The sequence below is a fragment of the Homo sapiens genome, chromosome 20 (assembly GCF_000001405.40).
Source record: "Homo sapiens chromosome 20, GRCh38.p14 Primary Assembly".
Classification (NCBI taxonomy): domain Eukaryota; kingdom Metazoa; phylum Chordata; class Mammalia; order Primates; family Hominidae; genus Homo; species Homo sapiens.
In genome coordinates, this window is record NC_000020.11 from 9,818,677 (window position 1) to 9,840,064 (window position 21,388).

A 21,388-nucleotide genomic window follows, 5' to 3' on the forward strand; every position below is an offset into this window, starting at 1 on the left:
TACCTGATAATATTCCACGGAAAACACTAGAAACATGGTCTCAGAGGTCCAGAAGACAGTCATTAATTAGGCTTCTAAGTTTTCCACTTTCTCTAGAATGCATGAACATCTAAAACCAAACAAAATGATAGCTGTATCACTGTAAAAATAGAACACAGGCTGGTATGAAGGACTGCAAATATAAAGAAACATGGGTATTGGACATCATTTCAACTAAATAATATCAGCCAAATAACATATAGTAGCTATCAAAGTTACTTTCCAATTTGTCTTGTCCAAAAGTTGAATTGATCTAATAAAACATGAAGCTATATAGGACAAAATAATACCAAATCACTTAAATCACTGAGAGAAAATATACTCTGCATGAGAAAGCCAAAGAAAGAAAGCATCAGGATAAGCTGAGGGCTTGGGTGCATATATTTCATGTTACCTTGTAATGACAATATGTCCTCACTAACTCACTATAAGTTCATTTCCCTGAGAAATGTTTAGGATGCAATTTTATCACCGATTTCCCTCCCATTAAGTAAGGTTCTGAATATGCAAATGATTTTTCATTTTAATTTCAGACTAAATCAGTAAACCAACACAAATCTATTTCTTACCAAGGTTTCAAAATAGAAGCAGCAGTACAATGGCAAAATAGGACACAAAGATGAAGAGCTAAGATCACAAGAGGATAGGGCTAAAGAGTCTCTGTATGGTGTCTTTGGTAACTTATAGTTCATTTCCAGGAAAAGATAGATATTTTCAAATGCAATCAGTCCAGTAAATTAGGGCCAACGAACCTGTGACCAGAGAAATTTCACTGGGTCAGAAATCTTTGTGGAGACTATAATTATATTGCTCAATTTTACTTTTACCTACACTAATGAACATTTAAAAAACATTTTTTTTTTTGCCTGACCACATTCTTTGCTATGCTTCTGATAATGGCCTCCTGATAATCCTTGCAGATCCTCTCTACCCCCGTTCTCTGTCAAGGTGGTTTGGGAGAAAGTAACTCCACTCTGATTTCTGACTCTAGGGGTGGGTTTGGACCCAGGTGGGAATACAAAAGCCACACATTCCCCAGGCAACAGTAATTAGACAAGGAACCGGTACTGGCACATGACCCACAAATGTTATATTAGAACTACTGAAATTCAATCCTGAGACTTTTGTTAGAACTATTGGGCTAGAGAGTATTTTTTGCTGGATTTTGAGATCAGTAGGATCTAAACCCAAGAGCTGTAGGGGGGCTGTCCATGTTGCCAGAAAAATAAGATAGCTTGCCCAAGAAAGAAAACTATACAGAAACACTCAGAGCTGAAAGATGGGGAAGAAATGGCACCAGGATAATGTTTTTGAGCTCCCGATCCAACTGTATTTCTGGATGCTTCTGCTATACAGGTCAACAAATTCCTAGTTTTCTTGATCCACTTTGAGTTGGGTTTCTGCCCCTTTCAAACAAAAGAATCCTGTTGAAGATACGCCCTGCTTCCCATAACATCCAGCTGCAAAGACAAGTTTAATCTATAGAAAATCTATTCATTATTTCCTCCTCATAATATCAACTGTCATGAAAATGAATTTGAGAGTTAGAAATAAGTAGAAGGAAAGCTTATTTTCTTTAAATGCATTTTATAAAACTCAGATTTCCCCTATATGCAGAAGGCCTCTCCTATTTCATTTTAGAGTCTAATTAAATTGGGCCACAACCTATTTTTATTGAAAGAGTTGTTTTTACTCACTGTGTCCATTCATTGATCTACTCCTCACCTCCTCCAAGGAGAAATGAAGGCAATATGTAACCCATGGGGCTGCTATTTGGATTAAAGGAGATGTAAGTCTCAGTAGGTCACAGAATTCTTATTGAATTCATTTGTTTAGTAAAAATTTATTGAGCAACTGTACGTGGAAGGTGCTATGCCAGATGCTCTAACTTAACTAGATAAAATTTAGCCTCTTCCTTCCTGCCTCTTCCAGTCCAATGGGACAAAGAAGGAGAACAAAACACACATAATTAAGAAGCAAGGGGACCCATTTTACAAAGTATGGACCAAGGCAGGCACAACAAAAGTGGAATCACCTCAGATGTGAATGTTGTCTTCTGAAGCTGTGTAACACGGAAGCCCTGAATATAAAGGAACTGAATGGGGAGCCCTGAAATGAGAACCAGGGAAGAGCAGAACTGTAACACTCAGGTTCAACAATTAGAGTAACCCAAGGTGGTAAAGGAAGGCTCAATGTTGGTGATGCAAAGCCCCTAAGCACCACTCTTCCTCCAGCCCTGATAGCTCTCCCCAAATTTCTTCTCTTTATTCTTTTAGGAACACCAGAAATTTTGAACACTTTTCTGTTACTCCAAGTGGGAAACTCTAGAACCCATGGTGCCCTCTGGTGTGTAAAACAGGTTTCCTGTCCATACCAATGATAATGGCCAGGTGCGATGGCTTACACCTGTAATCCAGCATTTTGGGAGGCCGAGGCAGGCGGATCATCTGAGGTCAGGAGTTCGAGACCAGCCTGGCCAACATGGTGAAACCCCATCTCTACTAAAAATACAAAATTTAGCTGGGCATGGTGGTGGGGACCTGTAATCCCAGCTACTCAGGAGGCTGAGGTGGGAGAATTGCTTGAACACAGGAGGCGGAAGTTGCAGTGAGCCAAGATCATGCCACTGCACTCCAGCCTGGGCAACAGAGCGAGACTCTGTCAAACAAACAAAAAAAGATGATGAGTTTCTTAAAACCCATCCATATCTCAAATCCAAGGTTAACTGTGATTATTTTCAGAACACAATACTTTGTAGCCTGCCTAACCTGAGTATCCTATTGGCAATCACTGATATGACCTAACTTTGGATCCCCCTCTTGCTCCACAATTTTAAAACACCTTCTCTACTATCCTAAACGACCTCAACTGATACATTCTCATCGAGAAAGCCACCTGGGTTATTTTTGAGATCCTACTTCAGGCTGCTAACTGCCCAACATCCATTCTTCACTTTTTCCTGATCAAATACACTTTATCACTCAGTTAAAATTCACTGACATTTACTGTTTATCCACACATACAGAGGACTAACACTTGCGTTTCTGCTCTCAGCATACTTGTTACATTCTCTTCTTTCTCCATGCAAAATTATTTTTGGTTTGGGGTTTCTTGCAAGACAGACTCAAAATCATTTTGTATTATATATTCTCCAGCTTTCCCAAGTTTCAAGATAGCTATTCCTAAAAATGATCATGGGCATGAACAACATTTTTGGGGATATAGAGTTCCAAATAATGCCATGGAAGATACAGCTTATCAACTGGTCCACCAGTACCCTACAAGAATGCAGGCCCGGTGTGGTGGCTTACGCCTATAATCCCAACACTTTGGGAGGCTGAGGCAGGCAGATTGCCTGAGCTCAGGAGTTCGAGACCAGCTTGGGCAATATGGTGAACCCCATCTCTACTAAAAATACAAAAAATTAGCCAGGTGTGGTGGTGCATCTCTGTAGTCACAGCTTCTTGGGAGGCTGAGGCTGAAGGATTGCCTGAACCCAGGAGGCAGAGGTTGCAGTGAGCTGAGATCCTGCCACTGCACTCCAGCCTGGGTAACAACAGAGTGAGATCTGTCTCAAAAAAAAAAAAAAAAAAGCAATTACATTACATTACACAGTCAAATGATTTACTCTTAGGAATATTTTATCTTTCTGTTTCATTACAAGGTCAGTTGTAGCCTTACTTATGTTTCATTTTTCAACATTAGATGCGTTTATAATAACAGCTCCCTGCTTAATTATGTACAATTGAACACCTATAGTTATATCATCTTGTTCATTTGGAAATGACTTTGAGGGCAACTTAACACTCTGGCTCAATGCTCTTTTACCCACTGTACATGGAATGTTCTTGTCTACACTAATAAATTGCCCAATCAATAGCTCACAATTGACTAGCAGAAGATAAATTTTCTTTTCTTACAACAACTTCTAAAGGATCTCTGAAGTTTGGCAGGCACATGACAAGGGAGGCAACAGGTATAGATGTAGCAAGCCTTATTAGTATCCACCCATATGCCTACTGACTTCCAACAGTCAGTATCTGTGTTTCTAAGGGCTTTTCCATATCATGGGAGTTTGGAAGTACAGAGAAACTAACATTCTCTGGGAACAGCCTTCAACTAATGACTGATGGGAGTTGGTGTATAAATATCTCAGTTCCCTCCCCTTTGGGTGGACTGATTTGGAGGCATGAGTTTTATACCATTTCCCAGTTCCTCTATTTTAATACTCTAATTTTGGCAGCCTTTCTGCTATGATTTAGATGTACATGTCCCTCTGAAATTCACATGTTGGAACTTAAACCTGAAGGTAAAAATACTAAGAGTCTTTAGCAGGTGATCAGGCCATCAGAGCTCCACTGTCATAGATGAGATTAGTGTCCTTATAAGAAAAGCTTAAGGAAGCAAGTTTATCCCTTTTTTACCCTTCTGCCATGTGAGGACACAGCATTCATCCTTTTCCCTCTGGAGGACATAGCAACAAGATGCCATCTTGAACAGAGGAGAAGCCCTTTCCAGACACTGAATCTGCTGGTGCCTTGATCTTGGACTTCCAAGCCTCTAGAACTATGAGAAATAAATTTCTATTATTTAAAAACTACCCAGTCTAATGTATTTTGTTATAGCAGCAGGAATGGACTGACAGTTTCTGATATGGTTTGGCTGTGTCCCCGCCCAAATCTCACCTTGAATTATAATAATCCTCACGTGTCAAGGGTGGGGCTAGGTGGAGATAACTGAATCATGGGGGTGGTTCCCCCATACTGTTCTCTTGGTAGTGAATAAGTCTCACAGATCTGATGGTTTTATAAATGAGCTCCCCTGCACAATTAATCTTGCCTTCCGCCATGTAAGACGATCGTTTGCTCTTCCTTCGTCATCCACCATGATTGCGTGGCCTTCCCAGCCATGTAGAACTGTGAGTCCATTAAACCTCTTTCCTTTATAAATTACCCAGTCTTGGGTATGTCTTTATTAGCAGTGTGAGAACAGACTAATAAACTCCCCTTCCATGTGTTACTTGCCCTCTCTCTTAACGGTATTCCATGAACGTTCCAAGTAAACTACTTGCTCTCGAATCCTTGCCTCAAGGTCTGTTTCTGGGGGGGAAATCCTAACTAAAATAGAGGAAGTTAAAGGAATTACACTTAGAACTTGAGAAAATACTTTTTACCTTTTTTTTGTGCTTGTAGAAGATTAATCTTAATCAATAGAGCAAGGCAGCACAATCTGCTATTTACTAGCCATAAAATGGGAATAATGATAACACCTAATTTATAAGCCTACTGCAAGAATTAAATGAGATAGTGTTTACAAAACATATAACACAATATCTGGCATATAATACATGTTCAAAGAACTTGATTACTGCTCAATCATTGTTTTAACTCTGAGGCACATCTTTTCTTTCTATAACCAAACAAAAAACTGAACAAATACCTAGTATGTGCCATAATTCCATACTTTTTAAATATTAGACAGTTTCAAAAAAATCCCTGTTGTGTTTCATTTGAATTAAACCAAAATGGAGAAAGAATATTAAATCTCCAAAAGGAAGGCCGTGTGTGGTGGCTTATGCCTATAATTCCAGCACTTTGGGAGGCCAAGGCAGGAGGATTGTTTAAAGCCAGGAGTTCAAGACCAGCCTGGGCAACAAAGTGAGGCCCTGCCTCTTAAAAAAAAATTTCCAAAAAGCAGTTATGGTTTATCTAGAGAAGAATTGGCAGGACTGGAGTAATGGTGTCCTTAGCAGCATTAGAATGAGGTTAGGGTTTGAACCAGCACTAAAATTCTACTTCCAAATGAAAAAACTTGAGGGTCTTTGCAGGAGACAAATCATATGCAATTTGGAGTGCACTGCAAAAATGGTCCCCATCCCTACCTGGGATGCTGTCCCATGTGTATCTACACGGCAATTTCCTCTCCTCCTTCAAATGTCACTTTCTCAATTATACCTATTCTGACCATCCTATTTAAAATCACGCCCTTCACTGCCACCCATCACAGCCCTTTTGATTTCCCTTATCCCACTCTATTTTATAAAGCACTGATGACCTTCTGGCATTCTATACATTTATTTATTATGCTGTTTCCTGTCTGTCTCTCCTTCTTTTTTTATCTTCTATGTTCACAGAAGAACATTTTTATCTTCTATATTCATTGATATGCCTCCTCATGGTACATGCCACCTGAAGTAAGCAGAATAGTACTCAAGGTGCAGCTGCTGAATGGGTGAGTGACTCGTTGGGAATGTTCATTGTAACATCTGTTTCCTATTTTTTAATCTAGTCTTTACAGGAGAAAGCAGACATAAACAGACACTAGCCTAATAGACAGATCCAGTTATCTTGTTTTGATCCTACTAGTTAAGTGAGTAACTTAGAGCCAAATGTTCTTCTGTTTTACAGTGATACTCACAGTCATTGCACACCCTGGTCTTTGTAGAAAAGAAAATTCTTTTCAGTGGGTGGACTGTGCTCTGTGTTTAAAATAAAATTGAGGTCTGAAAAGAAATGGGAAGCTACTGCTATCATCCTTCTATCCCAAGCAAATAAAAACTCTAGGGACAACTCTGGAATTTTCTATCTCACTTGTTTTTTATTATTTTTTAGTAAGGTACAGTGATATTGTTATTCTTAGTTGCCCTGGGTGATTCCAATATTGATTTTGAGATTTTTCCAGCCATTCTACAGAATGCATATCATTTATAAGGTTCTACTTCACTGCTGTGAGCACAGTTGCATTGTGAAAGTTTTATATTTTCCAGATGATAATATCATATGAAATATGATACCATCCTTTTGCGTTTTGATAATCCCTACCTCCAGCAAGCTTAAGACCATATGATTTCTTTTCCATTTCAGTTTAGTTCAAATAAAACACAACAGAAATTTTAAAAAAATTGTCCAGTGTTGAAAGAAATTTTGAAAAAGTAGTTGCAGCAGCCTATTTATGCAAATGTTTTTACCAAATATCTCTAAACTCTATACTTTTAAATAAAATTCATACCAGCATAAAGTCTTACTTCTAAATTTTTTTTCTAGGATAAAATTTTTAAAATGCATCTTTCTAAAATGTCATTTGCGTTATATTTAAATTATTAAATAAGTTGGTCCATATTTTTGGGAAGCAAAATTAAGAAGACACAATATATGAGGATAAAATGATCCAAAAATATAGAGCAATTCAAAGGTTATAATTTGAATTATATTCACTCAAATTCAAAGGTTATACATTCAAGACTTTAATGACCAAGAGGGTAACATAAACAATTAAAATGGCCTGATTACAGGCAGTAGGGAGTGATGGGGACTGTGACAAAGTGAAGACTCCATGACTGATCCATGTTAAAGGCAGCTGTTACTCAGCTACAGCAAATGATTGCCATGAAGAAACATGGTCAGTGTTGACAAATTTTGCAACTAAGTGTATGTGTCTGTATTTGTGTGTGTGATTTTTTGAATAAGAGAAGTCAGAAATCTAGATTTTTTTTTTTCTGGGAAATTTCACACTGTCTGTGTTAAACAGAACACATCTATACCACAAAATTAGACACTGCTCTAAATTGACATAGTCAAATATTTAGTACCTAATAGAATTCACAGTGTTCTACACCTTTCAGCTTTAGAAGGATAGCTCAATTCAATTTCAAAGATAGTAAAAATCTCCAGTTTTCATATCCTGTTACCTAGGGGTTAGTAGGCTCTAACTGGTAAGTGATTCTTTCGACCAGTGTAGACTCCTAATATCCCAACACAGGAACTTGCCTTAGAAATCCAAACTGAAGCACACAAGGTAACTGCTGTCATAGATAGTATCCATATATTGCTTTAAAAAATCCCTGGCATTTATCATCCTAGAATCTTCTATCTCCGAGAATTCTGCCGCAAATATATCTGACTAGAAGCCTGAAAAGCCCTTGGGACTCACCCTGGGGAACCTCTTGCTGGGATCACTCGCTTTGATTTATTTCTCTCCCAAACTTTCGATTTCTTCCTCATTTTATAGTGCATCTGTTGCTATGGAAACATTGGTGCCGAAGACTTGGGCAGAACCATATAAAACCCCAGCTTTCACTACACAAATCAAGGGATAATTGAGCAGGAATCACACCACCAATTAGGCATATTCATACCAGGTCTGGGACAATAGAGCAGTAGGTGTTAAGCTGCATCTAGCAATCAAATAATTATTCTCAATGTTTTTCAAGAAGCTCAGTTTATTTACTCTATTGTGGGGAGGCCGGCTCTCAGCTTATAGTTTGCTTCACCACTTTCTCTCTTTTCCATGTGTTTAGAATCTCTACCTTATACCCATGTCCAATATTGGAATTTTTTTTCTTTCTCCAACCAGAAACAGGTAGAGGGTTTAATCTTTCTCTCTACCTCTTTTTTATTCACAGAAAATAGAAAACCAGTATTAGTGTGAAACTAGTTTGTGTGTTTTTAAAGAAAATGGATGAGATAACTTTTAGATTAGCTGATTTTAGATTAGCCAATTTTTGTTTAGGACTCCAAACAGAACTTTTCTTATCTGCTGAGTTGCTGTATACCACAGCATTGATTGCCTTGGATTCAGATGATACAGGGTTTGACTCAGCTTCTTGAATCTATCTAACTGCGTGATATTTTGCCTTGAGTGGCCTTTTAAATCATAGCACCGCCTTTTCACATTTGCATTCAAATTTTTTAGCCTGGGTAATATCCATTCATCCATAGACATTTATTAAAGACCTGACATGTGTAGGCATAAAGCCAGGTGCTGGGGATACAAAGGTGAAGAAACAAGATGCCTGCTTTCGAAGAGTTCCCAGTTTAGTGCAAGAAGGAAGCTAAAAAAAAATCTACAAAACATTGTGATGACTGTTTGAGAGGAACAATCCAGAACCATGTGGGAGGATTTTGGGGGAGGGGGAGGGTGGGGGAATGTGGTAGCTGTATAGAAAGTTTTCAATGAAGGTGTGATACTCAGATAACAGAAGATCATTTTGGAGGTAAGAATGAAAGAGAACAGATAGGAGGCTGACAGAAGATCTAATTGAGAGATGCAAAGGGGAGTGGCAGTGGAGACAGGGAAGGGGGCACATGCAAAAAATGTTTTTTAGGTTGCAATTTATTTATTTACTTATTTATTTAGAGACAGAGTCTTGCTTTGTCGCCCAGGCTGGAGTGCAGTGGCGTGATCTCAGCTCACTGCAACATCTGCCTCCCGGGTTCAAGCGATTCTCTTGCCTCAGCATCCCAAGTAGCTGGGATCACAGGCGTGCGCCACCATGCCCAGCTAATGTTTTTTTGTATTTTTAGTAGAGACAGGGTTTCACCATGTTGGCCAGGCTGGTCTCGAACTCTTGACCCAGGTAATCCACCCACCTCGGCCTCCCAGAGTGCTGGGATTACAGGCGTGAGCCACCGCGCCCAGCCAAGTTGCAATTTAGATACTGCTTGGCTGTGAGGGTAGGAGAAGAGTAGACTCTACTTGGAATCTGAAAGAGATAGCACACAACCTGCAGGTAGGTAGCTGTTATCTTAACCCTCAAAAAGGGTTAAACCACTACTTAACTCAAGGCGTGAATAACTATTATTCAAATATTATTGGCAAATTATTTTTGTTTGTCTGTTTCTCTATCTCTAATACCTAGAGAAGAGAGAACATTGTCCTAAAAACCACCAGGATGAGAAAAATTCTAAGTTGTTTCTGTAAAATTTTTTTAAATCCCCCTCCTCCGTCAGTGTTTTTATTTTTAGAAGTTAAATCATACCCACATAGCAACTGTTCCTACTTTAGAGGAAGAATCTTTCTTTTAAACAAATAAAGTGTGAATTTTCTATTCTTCCAGAAAGTTCACTTCCTGGGTCAGTAAACTGTAATGTAGCTATAAAATAAGGGGGCAACACAGCTGACAGCTAAAAACAATTAGCTAAAAAATCATTATTATACAAACACCATTTGCATGAATCCAGTGACCATTAGAAGCAAACACATGAAGTTTCCTCTAGAAAATAGCTAAAGAATTTCTTAAATAGTATGCCAAACTTGAATTTTAATTGGAAATGAAGCTAATAACTGTTGTGTCTAACAGAGATCTTATATTTGGAACCAAAGGTGGGAGTTTCTCTCTCTCTCTCTGTTTTTCTCTTTCCCCTTCTCTCCCTTCTTCCTTTCCTTCCCCCATTATGTAAGTTGTTATCAAAAGTGATGGAACCAATATTGATTGCAGAAAGTCTTCTTGGTTCAGTTGGAAAATAGGGTAATAGAAGAGTAGTAGGGGTATGAACCAGTGCTTTAGAGAAACAAAGGTACACCTTATGGCCAATTTACCTTTATCATCAATGACACAATGGCAATTCCATTGAAAATTAGCTAAGGAAATCCCACAACTGGACATCTGTTTAAAAATGTAAGTTAAATGTGCTTCTTATACAAACAACCAAATATTGATTTTTGGTTTGGAACATTCAGTTAATCATAATACCAAACACTGCAAGGCAGTCCATTCATTTACTTTCCCTTTTCATGAGGAAATCTGCACGAACAGAAATGCTGAATCTGAGGATTTGAGAGTATTGGAGAGTCAAAGTGGGTTGATTAATCTAGTGACTTTTAAATTATCGGAGGTTCAAGGACCTCAGATAAAACTTTTCTTATCCATTGAATTGTTGTATACCACAATGGCCTTTGGATTCAGATGATCCAGAGCTTCTTGACTCTATCTAGCTGCATGATATTTTGCCTTGAGTGACCTATTTTATGGTGTTCTTATGAAGACTAATTAATATACATAGGTAAAATACTTGGATGTGGGCTTAACACATCTTGTTCAATATGTTAGCTATAGTCACAAAAAGTATAATCTATTTTTCTTATAATCTACATTGCCGTTGCATGATTAGCTAATTATGCATGTGTGTCTCAACAATTGAGTGTTACCTTTCTAAAACAGTTACCTGAGCAGGCCTGATCCTAACATTTGAGAGACAAGAGTACAAAAGGAGTCCCACATGTTACAGATCTCAATATTTAAATACTATAAATCAAGCTAAAAAAATGTTAATTTAAATGTGTTATATCTTCCTGGCTTAACAAATATGCCTTCATAACAACGTAGAAGCCAGATTTAAATTTAGAGTACTTAAATTCCAGAACATAGCAAAGCAAGGAGACCCAGTCTTTGCTCCCCTCCCCATCCCTTTCTCTTTCTACCATGGCCTCCAGCACTTGTGTGGAGACTACAAAGTCCACAAGTCCAAGCTCCATTTACACCTCCCACCAACAGTCTTTTTTCAACCCCCACTGGGCCCAGGAGCCCCATGAGCAGTGAATTCCAAGGTCCCAGCTATGCAGAGCAAGGCTCAGAAGGAGGCAAAGAGCTCAAGGGGTCTTTGTTGCAGAGGAGCAGTGCTGTCCAGGTGCTGAGAAGTTGGAGTGCAGAGTAGCAGAGCCCTCTAATATACAGTGACCAGGACAGGGACCTGTCTTGCTAATTTAAGATTATTTTCTCTGTCCTGTTTTAAGCACAAGTGAAGAACAATTACCTCTTTTTTCTCTTCCACTTACAAGTCATCTTTCTTCACAGAAAAGTTTATAAAGAGTTATAAAAGCAACAACATGATTGTTAAGTTACCTGGACAGCCACAGACATTTCCTATTTATCATGAGAACTGCAGTAAGAATATGCACTGATCTAAGTATGATCTTTTAATATTTAGTTAATAATAACTTTATCAACCAAAGTTAATTGAACCAAGAGGCTGGTATTCATGGTGAACTAAACTCAAACATGACTGTTGGGCTTGCTGAATGTAAGATCATTCAGAAAAGAAGGCTAGACCTGTGTTGGTGCCTGATCTATTTCCATATTATACCTCTTGCTTCTGCTTCATTGTTTCTTTCAGATTATACCTTTCTAGGATTTTCTCTTACCTGAGAAAATGGGACCTTTCTTTCAAAATTCCTGCCGGTATATAAGGATCAGGCTGAAAATCCACACTCTTCCCAACATGTCACTACTGGCTCCAAGAGGAAAATGTACCTTCTGTGTGGGGCACCCACATTGCACCTTCAATGATGCACATCACAGTGAACATTAGACCATGAACCTTAAGTTAAACTCCCATGTCATAGCAAATGTTTCCTATGGGATGCAAAGAGAGGGATGAGTGGTATTCAACCCTGTTTACCCCTAAGTCCTAGGGTAATGGGCATTTCTGTTGTCTTTTTTTGGTTTGGTTTGGTTTGGTTTTGGCTTTTTAGCACCCATCACATCTCTTGTGTTTCTTTCATTGGAAAGGGGTAGTGGGCCTACTAATCAAGGCACCCCCCCTCCTATCCCATGCCCAGTGGGCTGGGTGTGGGGGAAGAACCCCAAGCATAGCAGCCAGTGGACTGTGGTCAAGCTCTGAACAAGTCATTCTTGGCTGGAGTCTGTTTCCAAAGTGCCTGATATCTAGACCTGGAACTGACTAGCTTCATCTGCTTCCAAGCTGTTTTGGGGGGTGTGTGTGTGTGTGCGCGCGTGCGTGTGTTTGGGATTCCCCATCCCCCGCCACATTCCTGGCAATTCTTTTAGCTACCTAATATCCTTCTAGTAAATTCCTTTTGCTGGAGTTAGGCAGAGTTTCTTTCATTTGCATGCAATCTAAGAGTCACTGCTGATACACTTGGCAGAGCCCCTGACACAAGAGATAATCAATGAATGTTTGTTACATAAATGAATAATTACAACCTAAATGTATATCACTGCTTATTTGTAAAATAGTGGATTTTTTAATTCTGATTCATAAAACAACACATCATTGACTAATTTTTTTTTCCAAGGCAGGGCCTCACTCTGTCGCCCAGGCTGGAGTGCAGTGGTGCGATCTTGGCTCACTGCAACCTCCACTTCATGGGCTCAGACATTCCTTCCACCTCAGCCTCCTGAGTAGCTGAAATCAGAGGCGTGCGCCACCACGCTCAGCTAACTTTTGTATTTTTTGTAGTGATGGGGTTTTGCCATGTTGCTCAGCCTGGTGTCAAACTCCTGAGCTCAAGTGATCCACCCACCTCGAGTTCCCAAAGTGGTGAGATTACAGGTGTGAGCCACCGTGCCCGGCCTACTACATTTTTTAAAATTTGGAAAAGTGTAACAAAATAAAAGCCATCCATATTTCCACCACCCAGAGATTGCCTAACTTTTTAATTTTGTTCTGTTTTTTTAAATATACCTGCATGATGTTTTCATTTCACAAAACACATATTAACAATACAATATATGTAGTAGTGCATTTTGTTTTTTTCCACTTAAAATTGTGGTGAAGTTTGTTTCACGTCATTATATAATCTTCAAAATAATTAATTTTAATACCTATATAATAGTCTGTTATCTTGGGACCTTAAATACCTTTACCAAGCTCCCAAGTTCTAGTTATATAGGTTCTTTTTAATTTTTATTACTATGAAATATATTATAATACACAATTTTACCTGCATCTACTTCCTTACCAAAGACAAAAGAAAACATAAAATAAAAAACAAGAGGAATAGTGTGTCAAATAATTTAAACTTTTAAAAGTTTTGACAACTTTCTTTTTTTTAATGGTGACAGAGTATCACTCTGTCACCAAGCCTGGAGTGCAGTAACGCGATCTCGGCTTACTGCAAACTCCACCTCTCAGGTTCAAGTGATTCTCTTGCCTCAGCCTCCCAAGAAGTTGAGATTACAGGAGTGTGCCACCACACCCAGCTATTTTTTTGTATTTTAGTAGAGATGGGGTTTTCCCATGTTGGCCAGGGTGGTCTCAAACTCCTGGCCTCAAGTGATTCACCTGCCTTGGCCTCCCAAAGTGCTGGTGTTATAGGCATGAGCCACCGTGCCTGGCAGACATTTTGATAAGTATTTTTAAACTTCTCTGTAGGAAGCTTGTATTATGTAACCCTCCCACCACAAGTAATGAAAGAGATTGTCCTTCTCACTGCATCCTTGCCAGTATTAAGTTTATTTTTTGTATTTTTTACTTTTTTAATACATAAAACACACCACCTCATTGTTATTTTAATTTGCATTTCTGTGATTAATAGTAATAACATTTATTAAACGTGTGCATTGGTCTTTTATTTTTTCCTTTTGAATTATGCATTCAGATATTTGGACAATTCTATTGGGGTGCTATTGTTTACTCACTGATTTGCAAGAGTTCCTCAGGGCTATCATGAACTGTCATGTCATGTTTGGTGTCAATATTGTTTTCCATGATTCTGTTCTGTTTAAAATGCATGCATTGCTGCATATGAGAGTTTAAAATATATTCAAATCTTTATTTTGCTTTGTGATTCTTCCCATTGATTTTATATTTAAAAAGTACTTCCCCTAAAATTAGTTAAATATTTTATTCTAGCTTTGTTTTCCACCTTGCATATAAACTTATCAATTTATGTGGAATTTCATTTGGAGGGTCATGTAAACAGAGGTTCTTAGTTGAATGCTTTCTATACACTTAGCCAATTTCCATGACGTTTTGTCAAATACTCCTCACTGTTTCATAATGCCTTCTTCGTCATATTTCTGGTTCTAAGAATGACCTAAATCTGTTTCCAGGCTCTTCTATTCCACTGAGCTATTAATCAATTCTTACACCAGTACTACATTGCTATAATGATTGTAGCCAATGATCAAATTTACTTTTGTTTCAACAATGGCGCCCATTACCACTACCACTTCCATCTACCTACCTTCACCCCCCAACCACCCACATCTACCACCCACCACCCCCATCCATACCACCTCATCCCACCACCTTCATGTATTCGTCTCCACCATCAAACTTCCCCCCACCTTTACCACCCCTAGAACTCCACTCTCCACACCACCTGTATGTACCACCACCTCCCATCTTACCACCACCACTCACCTCCCCCACCACCACTACTATTCTTTTGAAAAGTTTTCTTTTATTTTTATATGGTGATTCTTCCAGATGGATGTTAGAATCATTTTGTAAGGTTCTCCCAAATCCCAATGTAATAAAACTATATAATTGATCTGGGAAAAATAACCGTTTCATAATATTCATCTTTCTACCAAAGCATAAGGTATGTCTTTCTTTGTTTGCTCCTCAGTTTATTGGTTTGAGTAAAATTGTATAGCTTTCCACAAAGACTTTTATATATTTCTTATTATTCACGAGTATTTTATGTATGTTTCCTGTTTTTCCCACTCAATTTATATATTAGTGAATTCATGAATAGAATCATTTTCCATTCTACTTTTTAGTTAGTAAAACACTGGCATTTTGGGTGGCCATCAATTTTTGAACATGTATTTTATAACCAAAAACATTACTGAAATTTTGTACTAGTTCCTTTAGGCTTTAATTGATCCCATTGTGTATCCATCACTTTTAAACAAAATCAAGGCACACTGTCTAATTTTTGGTTACTTACATTAAAAACTTTACTTAAACATAGGCATTAAATGCTATTTTACTGTTTATTTTTAAAAATCACCCTTTTATGAGACTAATATAAAAATCTGAAATTGAAGCCACTTTAGAAATCTAAAACATAACATGTGTTCCTCTGTTGAACTACATTCATTTCCCTTGGGCACTCAGTCTTACTATTCAAAACTACAAAAAGGGCTCTGAATGAGAGACATTAAGTCACTTCTCACTTGGATTAAACAGGACAAATTTAGACAATTAAACGAAATAAAACAATTCAGGATTTTGACAGAAACACACCAGGAACTTGTCGCCTTATAAAGAGCAATTTCTCTCCTAATTTACCTCCAGAGATAATGTCCAGGATGATTTTTAAAATAAAACAGTGCCCACCTAGATATGGTGAGAAAGCAATTGCATGCTCTTCTATATATGTGCAGATACCTTTTTCCCCAGATAAGCACACATTTCCTATTTCAACAGATCAGAATAATAATACCAACAAATTATTAATTCACAAAATATTTGTTGTGCTCCTAGTAAGTGTGGGGTTCTGTGTTATTGGGAAAGATTAGAGGGTTATAGTGATGATTATGGACAGGAATTGAAGAGACACTGGCATATAACAGAAGCTCAACAAATAATTAAATGTATTATTTATTTATTATTATACATAATGATTATTATTTATTGTTTACCATTAATTTCCAGAAGACTGAAAGTCTAGCTCACCATTGTCTTCCAAGGGTGTAGCATGGCAAATATACACATGCAATAAATATTTGCAGAATATTTATTGACTGATTGATGTATTTTTACAAAAACCTCAGTTGCCAAAAAAATATTTTGACTCAATTCTTAACTTCTAGCCTAAATCAGTTCTTAAAAGATGCATTTGTTAAAGCCAAGAATACTCTCCTTTTGAAGTCAGAATAAGGTTCTAAATTGCTCTTTCTATACTAGAAAAGAAAAACCTTCTAAAAATCAGATCTTGAAGTTGGCACAGGAAAATGCTATGAGGCAGAGTATTCGTTCCTTCACTCATTCACCAAAAGTTCATTGAGCACCTTCTGCATATAAGACATAAAATAAATGGCCATTATAGAGCTTACAGACATAGCCAAACAAACAGGCATTTGCAAACTGGAATAAGTGCTGTGGAATAAAAGTGAAAGGATGATGAGAGAGTTGGGTCGGTGGGGAAGAGAGATCAAGGAAGCCCAAGGGATGAGTATGACCCAGACTGGTAAAATATAGAGGGAAGATGGTTGGGGATGTTCCAGAAACAGACAGAGGGTCAGTGTGACAGCATCAAGAGGAAGAGATGCACAAGATGAGGCTGGCCAAGTATCAGAGGCTCTAGGAGTCTCTGGAATCTGTCCCAGGTGTGTGGGTGGTATTTTATGTAGGGAACTGACATTATCCTCTCTGCTCTGGATGAAGGATTAGAAGAGCCAGGCAAGGAACCAGGGGTCTTGTTAGGAAGTTATTCTAGTGGTCCAGGTAAGAGATTATCATCTCTTGCAGTTTGATAGTGGTGGTGGTGGGGATAGAAATAATTTATCAAGATGTATTTAGAGATCTATAGAGAAAATAGCATTTATAAGACTGCATGATGGTTTTAAATGTGGAGGGTCAAGGGAAAGGAGGTGTCAAAGGTGATTCTTGGGTTTCTGGTTAAAGCAACTCGATGGATAGTGGTGCCATTTACCAGGTTAAGAAGGACTAGAAAGTTGTTAGCTTGCCTTTGTTGCTATTATTGTTTTTGTTATTTAATGCATTTTGGTTTTTTTGCATTTGTTTGGAAGGTTAGCAAGAAGGATGGAAGGCAACATCAACAAATCAACTGGGGGCACAGTATGTTTGAGATACTCTAGAAGATCCAGGTCCTGGGTTGTCTTGGCTCCCAGGTAAGTGACATGCATAAATGAGGTACTTTTGAACCCTGCTCTTCCCTACCATGGTTGTGTATATAAAGCCTCAAATAGGTTAGTTCCCTTAAATAATCTTTAAAGTATTTTCTGAATCCATGCTACTCTATCTTTACCTCTTATGCTAACATAATGTTAATGTTGTCATCAAACACAGTTCATAGGGATGTTGGTGTACTGGGCTGAAGAGTGTCTCCCAAGAATTCATGCCCATCCAGAACCTGTGAATATGACGTTTAGAAATCAGGCATTTGCAAATGTAACCTGGTTAATTTGAGGTCATATTGAATAAGGAACAGGTCCTAAATCCAATATGAATGATGTCCGTATAAGAAAAGGGAAATTTGGACACAGGGACAGAGACAGAGAGGAAGATGCCATGTGAATACAGAGGCAGAGATTGGAGTTATGCTGCCACAAACCAGGGAATGCCTGGGGCTACCAGAAGCTGGAAAAGGCAAGCAAGGATCCTCCCTTAGAGGTTTTGGAGGGTGCATGGCCCTGACAACATCTTGATTTTGGACCTCTAGCCTCCAGAACCATGAGAGAATAAATTTCTGTGGTTTTAAGCCACCCAGTTTTTGGTAACTTGTTATAACTGCCCTAGGAAACTAATATAGTTGGGAAATTTAAGGGAATTAACATGTTTGAGCCTGAATCATTATATAGGGCACATAGCATAGGTTCAGTAAATATCCATTTCCCTCTTACTCATAACAGTCACCACCATTTTCCTGGTGGTTTAAATTATGATTAATCCGTACATCTACTCATCTAGATAAGTCTTACTATTCCGAGGACTGTTCTATAAGTGAGGAAACTGAGGCTTAGGAAAGTTAAATAATTTTCCCAGAATCACAAAGCTAAACATAGAAGAGTCAGAGTTCAAACACCTGCCTCCCATACCTACAGCATTTCAGCAGGTCCTGACAGAGTGGAGAGGCACTGCCAGACTAGATTTTCAATGCTTAGATATCAATTGATTCAATGCTTAGATATCAATTTTCAATTAAACTCACATTTATTAATAAAATAACAAGCTGCAGAGACCTAGTACAATCTCTACCCACTCACAGAAGAACACTAGGTTTTTAGTCTAAGGCCAGCGTTACCAAGGAACTTGCCATTGGCTTATATTGCTTCCATTTAGCAGTGCATCTGCCTTGCACATATGTATTCCAAGTCAAGGTATTATCAGATTGGACATTTATGGCTTTAATTTACTTAAATGCATTTTCCTTATGTATTCCCCCACTTCATTTTGATGATACTGACTCATTCTCGCCACCTAACAAGACTATAAAAATAAATAGTGTGAGTGCAGAGGAAACTGTCTCCAAACTTCATATGCTAAGATGCCCATCCTTTAAATTATAAAGCAAAAAATAAACCCATGCTTTAAATTTACCTTTCTCCCTAACTAACCTGGTTATCTTTCTCCCCAAGATTGAGTTGTTGTGCTGTTGAATATAACAGATACACAAATCTAAGGTGGCACAGCTGTTATTATAAGGTGTCAATTTCATAGAATTCTAGTGTAGGAGGGACTTCTAAAAAGCATCTTGTCCATCTATATCAGGTAAGAGAAAGAGTGTCTACAGCCTCCAAGCCCCAGAAGAGAAGCGGTTGCACTAGAAGATTTTTGTGAGTTACCTAAGACCCTGTGGCTATGTCTTGGTAGAACTCCGTAGAATGCCAGGTTTCCTGATTTTCCTAAAAGTGTGTTCAGTCTTTCAAGCTGTCATCAACTATTAACAATGACACTTTCCTCTGGCTTTGTGCCAACTTTTCTTTTTGTTTATTATTCTGGCCATAAAAAGACCACCATAAATAGCCTCAGCGTTTCAGGTTCCCTTAATTGATATCTAATGTTGACAAATTAACTCAGCCCGAGTTGAAAGCTCCATATACACACACATGGTTTCAAGAAGGGCGATCGCGCTTATCCTCCAAACTGAGCAGTGATGATCCCTGGACTTCTCAAGTTTACCCTCTAGGAGGCTGACATGGCACACAATTTTGACAAGAGTTTGGAACCAAGATCCTCTTCCACGCCCTGCTCACAAGGGTGCCCACAAGCAGAAGTTCTCTCTCTGTCTCTCCATTACAACCCACCAGGCGCGCGCGCACACACACACGCGCGCACACACACACACACACAAATAACAAAGGAAAACACAGCCTCATAAAGGCTCAGCTATTGCATCCTCCAGTCCACACCTGCCAAAAGACAAAAACCATGCGGGAATCCTGCTCTGGCAATATGTCCAACACTTCTCGGGAAAAGCAGCGCCGTGGCACCCCCAGGGCGTGCGCTGCTGTATACACACAAAGAACTGGTGCTGGGCTTGCGAGCAGTTCGGGGTACCAGCACGCTCTCAGGGCTGGAATCCGGGGTTCTCCTCCACGCCCTCCCGCCCAGCAAAATGGAACCATCCTTTATTTGGTTGGTAGAGAGCCCAGGCTGGATAGTAGCGCATGGGTTGAGGGTGGGCGGTCCCCTATCCCTACCCTCCAGGCAGCAGGTCCCTAGCCTTTGCATCTCCTAGGAGATGCAGGATCGCGCTGTCACAGTGGTCCTCTTCGCATCCTCTCCCGGCAAAGAGAGATGCTCCGGTTACCAGCGGCGCGCATCCCCGCAGGCGCCTCTCCTCTCGCCGATACCCACCCAGGCAGTCCCGACAGGCGCGCCTGCCTACCTGGTGGCCGGCTGTCAGCGAAGCGGCGGTGCCTCAGCCCCTTCTCAGCTGCTACAGCGCTCCCAGCGCCATGTTCCCGGTCTCCCCGGGCGCACGCTGGGGAACTACTACTGGCTGGGTAGGGGCAAGGGGGGCGGGGGCCAGCGGGAGGGGGTGAGAGGCAGAGCCACAGCTTTCTACTCTCCACCCAAACCTCCCCCAGCTACTGAGCATGCCCAGCTGCCCGGCTTCGCCCCTCGGAGGACTGTCCATGAGCGTACGCAGCTGCTCCGGGTTTTCGTGGCAGCCGGCGGGAGGCAGGCTGTAGCGGCGGCCGGGGGTGGAGGTGAGGGGGAGGGTCGGGGGGCGTGTCTACACTCAGGGTGCAGGAGCCAGGAGCCGGGAGCTGGAGCAGGCGACCAATCCAATCACGTTTACTCCCAGTCGTCCCCGGCGGGGGCAGCTCCTGCACGCCCTCTCCCCCAACACTCGGGATTTGCAGAAATGTTGTTCAGGACCATTGCAGGATTGAGTTTTGCTTAAGAGGCTAGCAGAGGTGGGGAGGAGGAGGGGCTGAGAAGCAGAACAGTGGGCTGGCCTCTTTGCCACCACCTGGACCGGTGATTCTCAAACTTTCATGTGCCTGTGAATTAAAATGCAGATTCAGATTCAATTGGCTGGGTCCTGAGATTCTGCAAGCCTAACAACCTCGCAGGTGATGCTGCTGCTGCTGGCCCTCCCACCACTCCGAGTAGCAAACATCTAGAGAACCCCTTATCTGTGACCTCTCAGTGGCCATCCTTCAATCCGCCAGCCTAGCAATGGTCTCTGGTGTCCACAGAGACTCCTCCAGCCTGGGGTTGCTGAGCCTTACCTGGAAGGAGTGTTTGTGGGGCTAGGCTGTGACCACCCAGCTTCTCCTTGGCTGCTGTCTGATTTCGAATTTAAGGCCCAGGGGAAGAAGGATTCCTGGACCTTTTCATGCTCACTTTGCTAGCTGGCTAGTAAGCCAGTTGCTGGATGAGCTGCCCCGGTCAAGTCTGAACCAGTCTGCCTTGGCTGTCCCCTTGCCTTTCCTGAGCTGGGACAAAAACTCAGACTGGGCATCAAAGTGTTTATTGTACATCTAATAGCAAGCTTGGGCTTGCCTAGTTAAGAAAGCCGACAGATTATGACAAACATAGAGCGCATTTTTGTACCAAGAGATGTCAGGCCTTTGTGTTCAGTGATGTTTGGGCTGAAGTTTGCAACGATATTTGTGGTTCAACTTAAACTTCCCAGTTGCCTACTGCCCTCCCAGACTCTTGAAGTCTCCAGCATTATC

General features: G+C 40.1%; 1 protein-coding gene across 5 annotated transcripts in view; it reads right to left on the bottom strand.

Annotated features, from left to right (window-relative positions):
* Positions 1 to 20,400, bottom strand: part of PAK5 (p21 (RAC1) activated kinase 5) — a 301,707-nt gene extending 281,307 nt beyond the window's left edge. For 4 of the 5 annotated variants that reach the window (NM_020341.5, XM_017027960.2, XM_017027961.2 and 1 more), the window contains exons 1-2: positions 20,086 to 20,400; positions 4 to 109 (exon numbers count right to left, since the gene is read on the bottom strand). The gene's annotated coding sequence lies outside the window, so the exon portion shown is untranslated. The remainder of the gene's footprint in view (positions 1 to 3; positions 110 to 20,085) is intronic. The other variant, NM_177990.4, reaches the window with a different exon arrangement.
* Between the last annotated feature and the right edge of the window lie 988 nt (positions 20,401 to 21,388).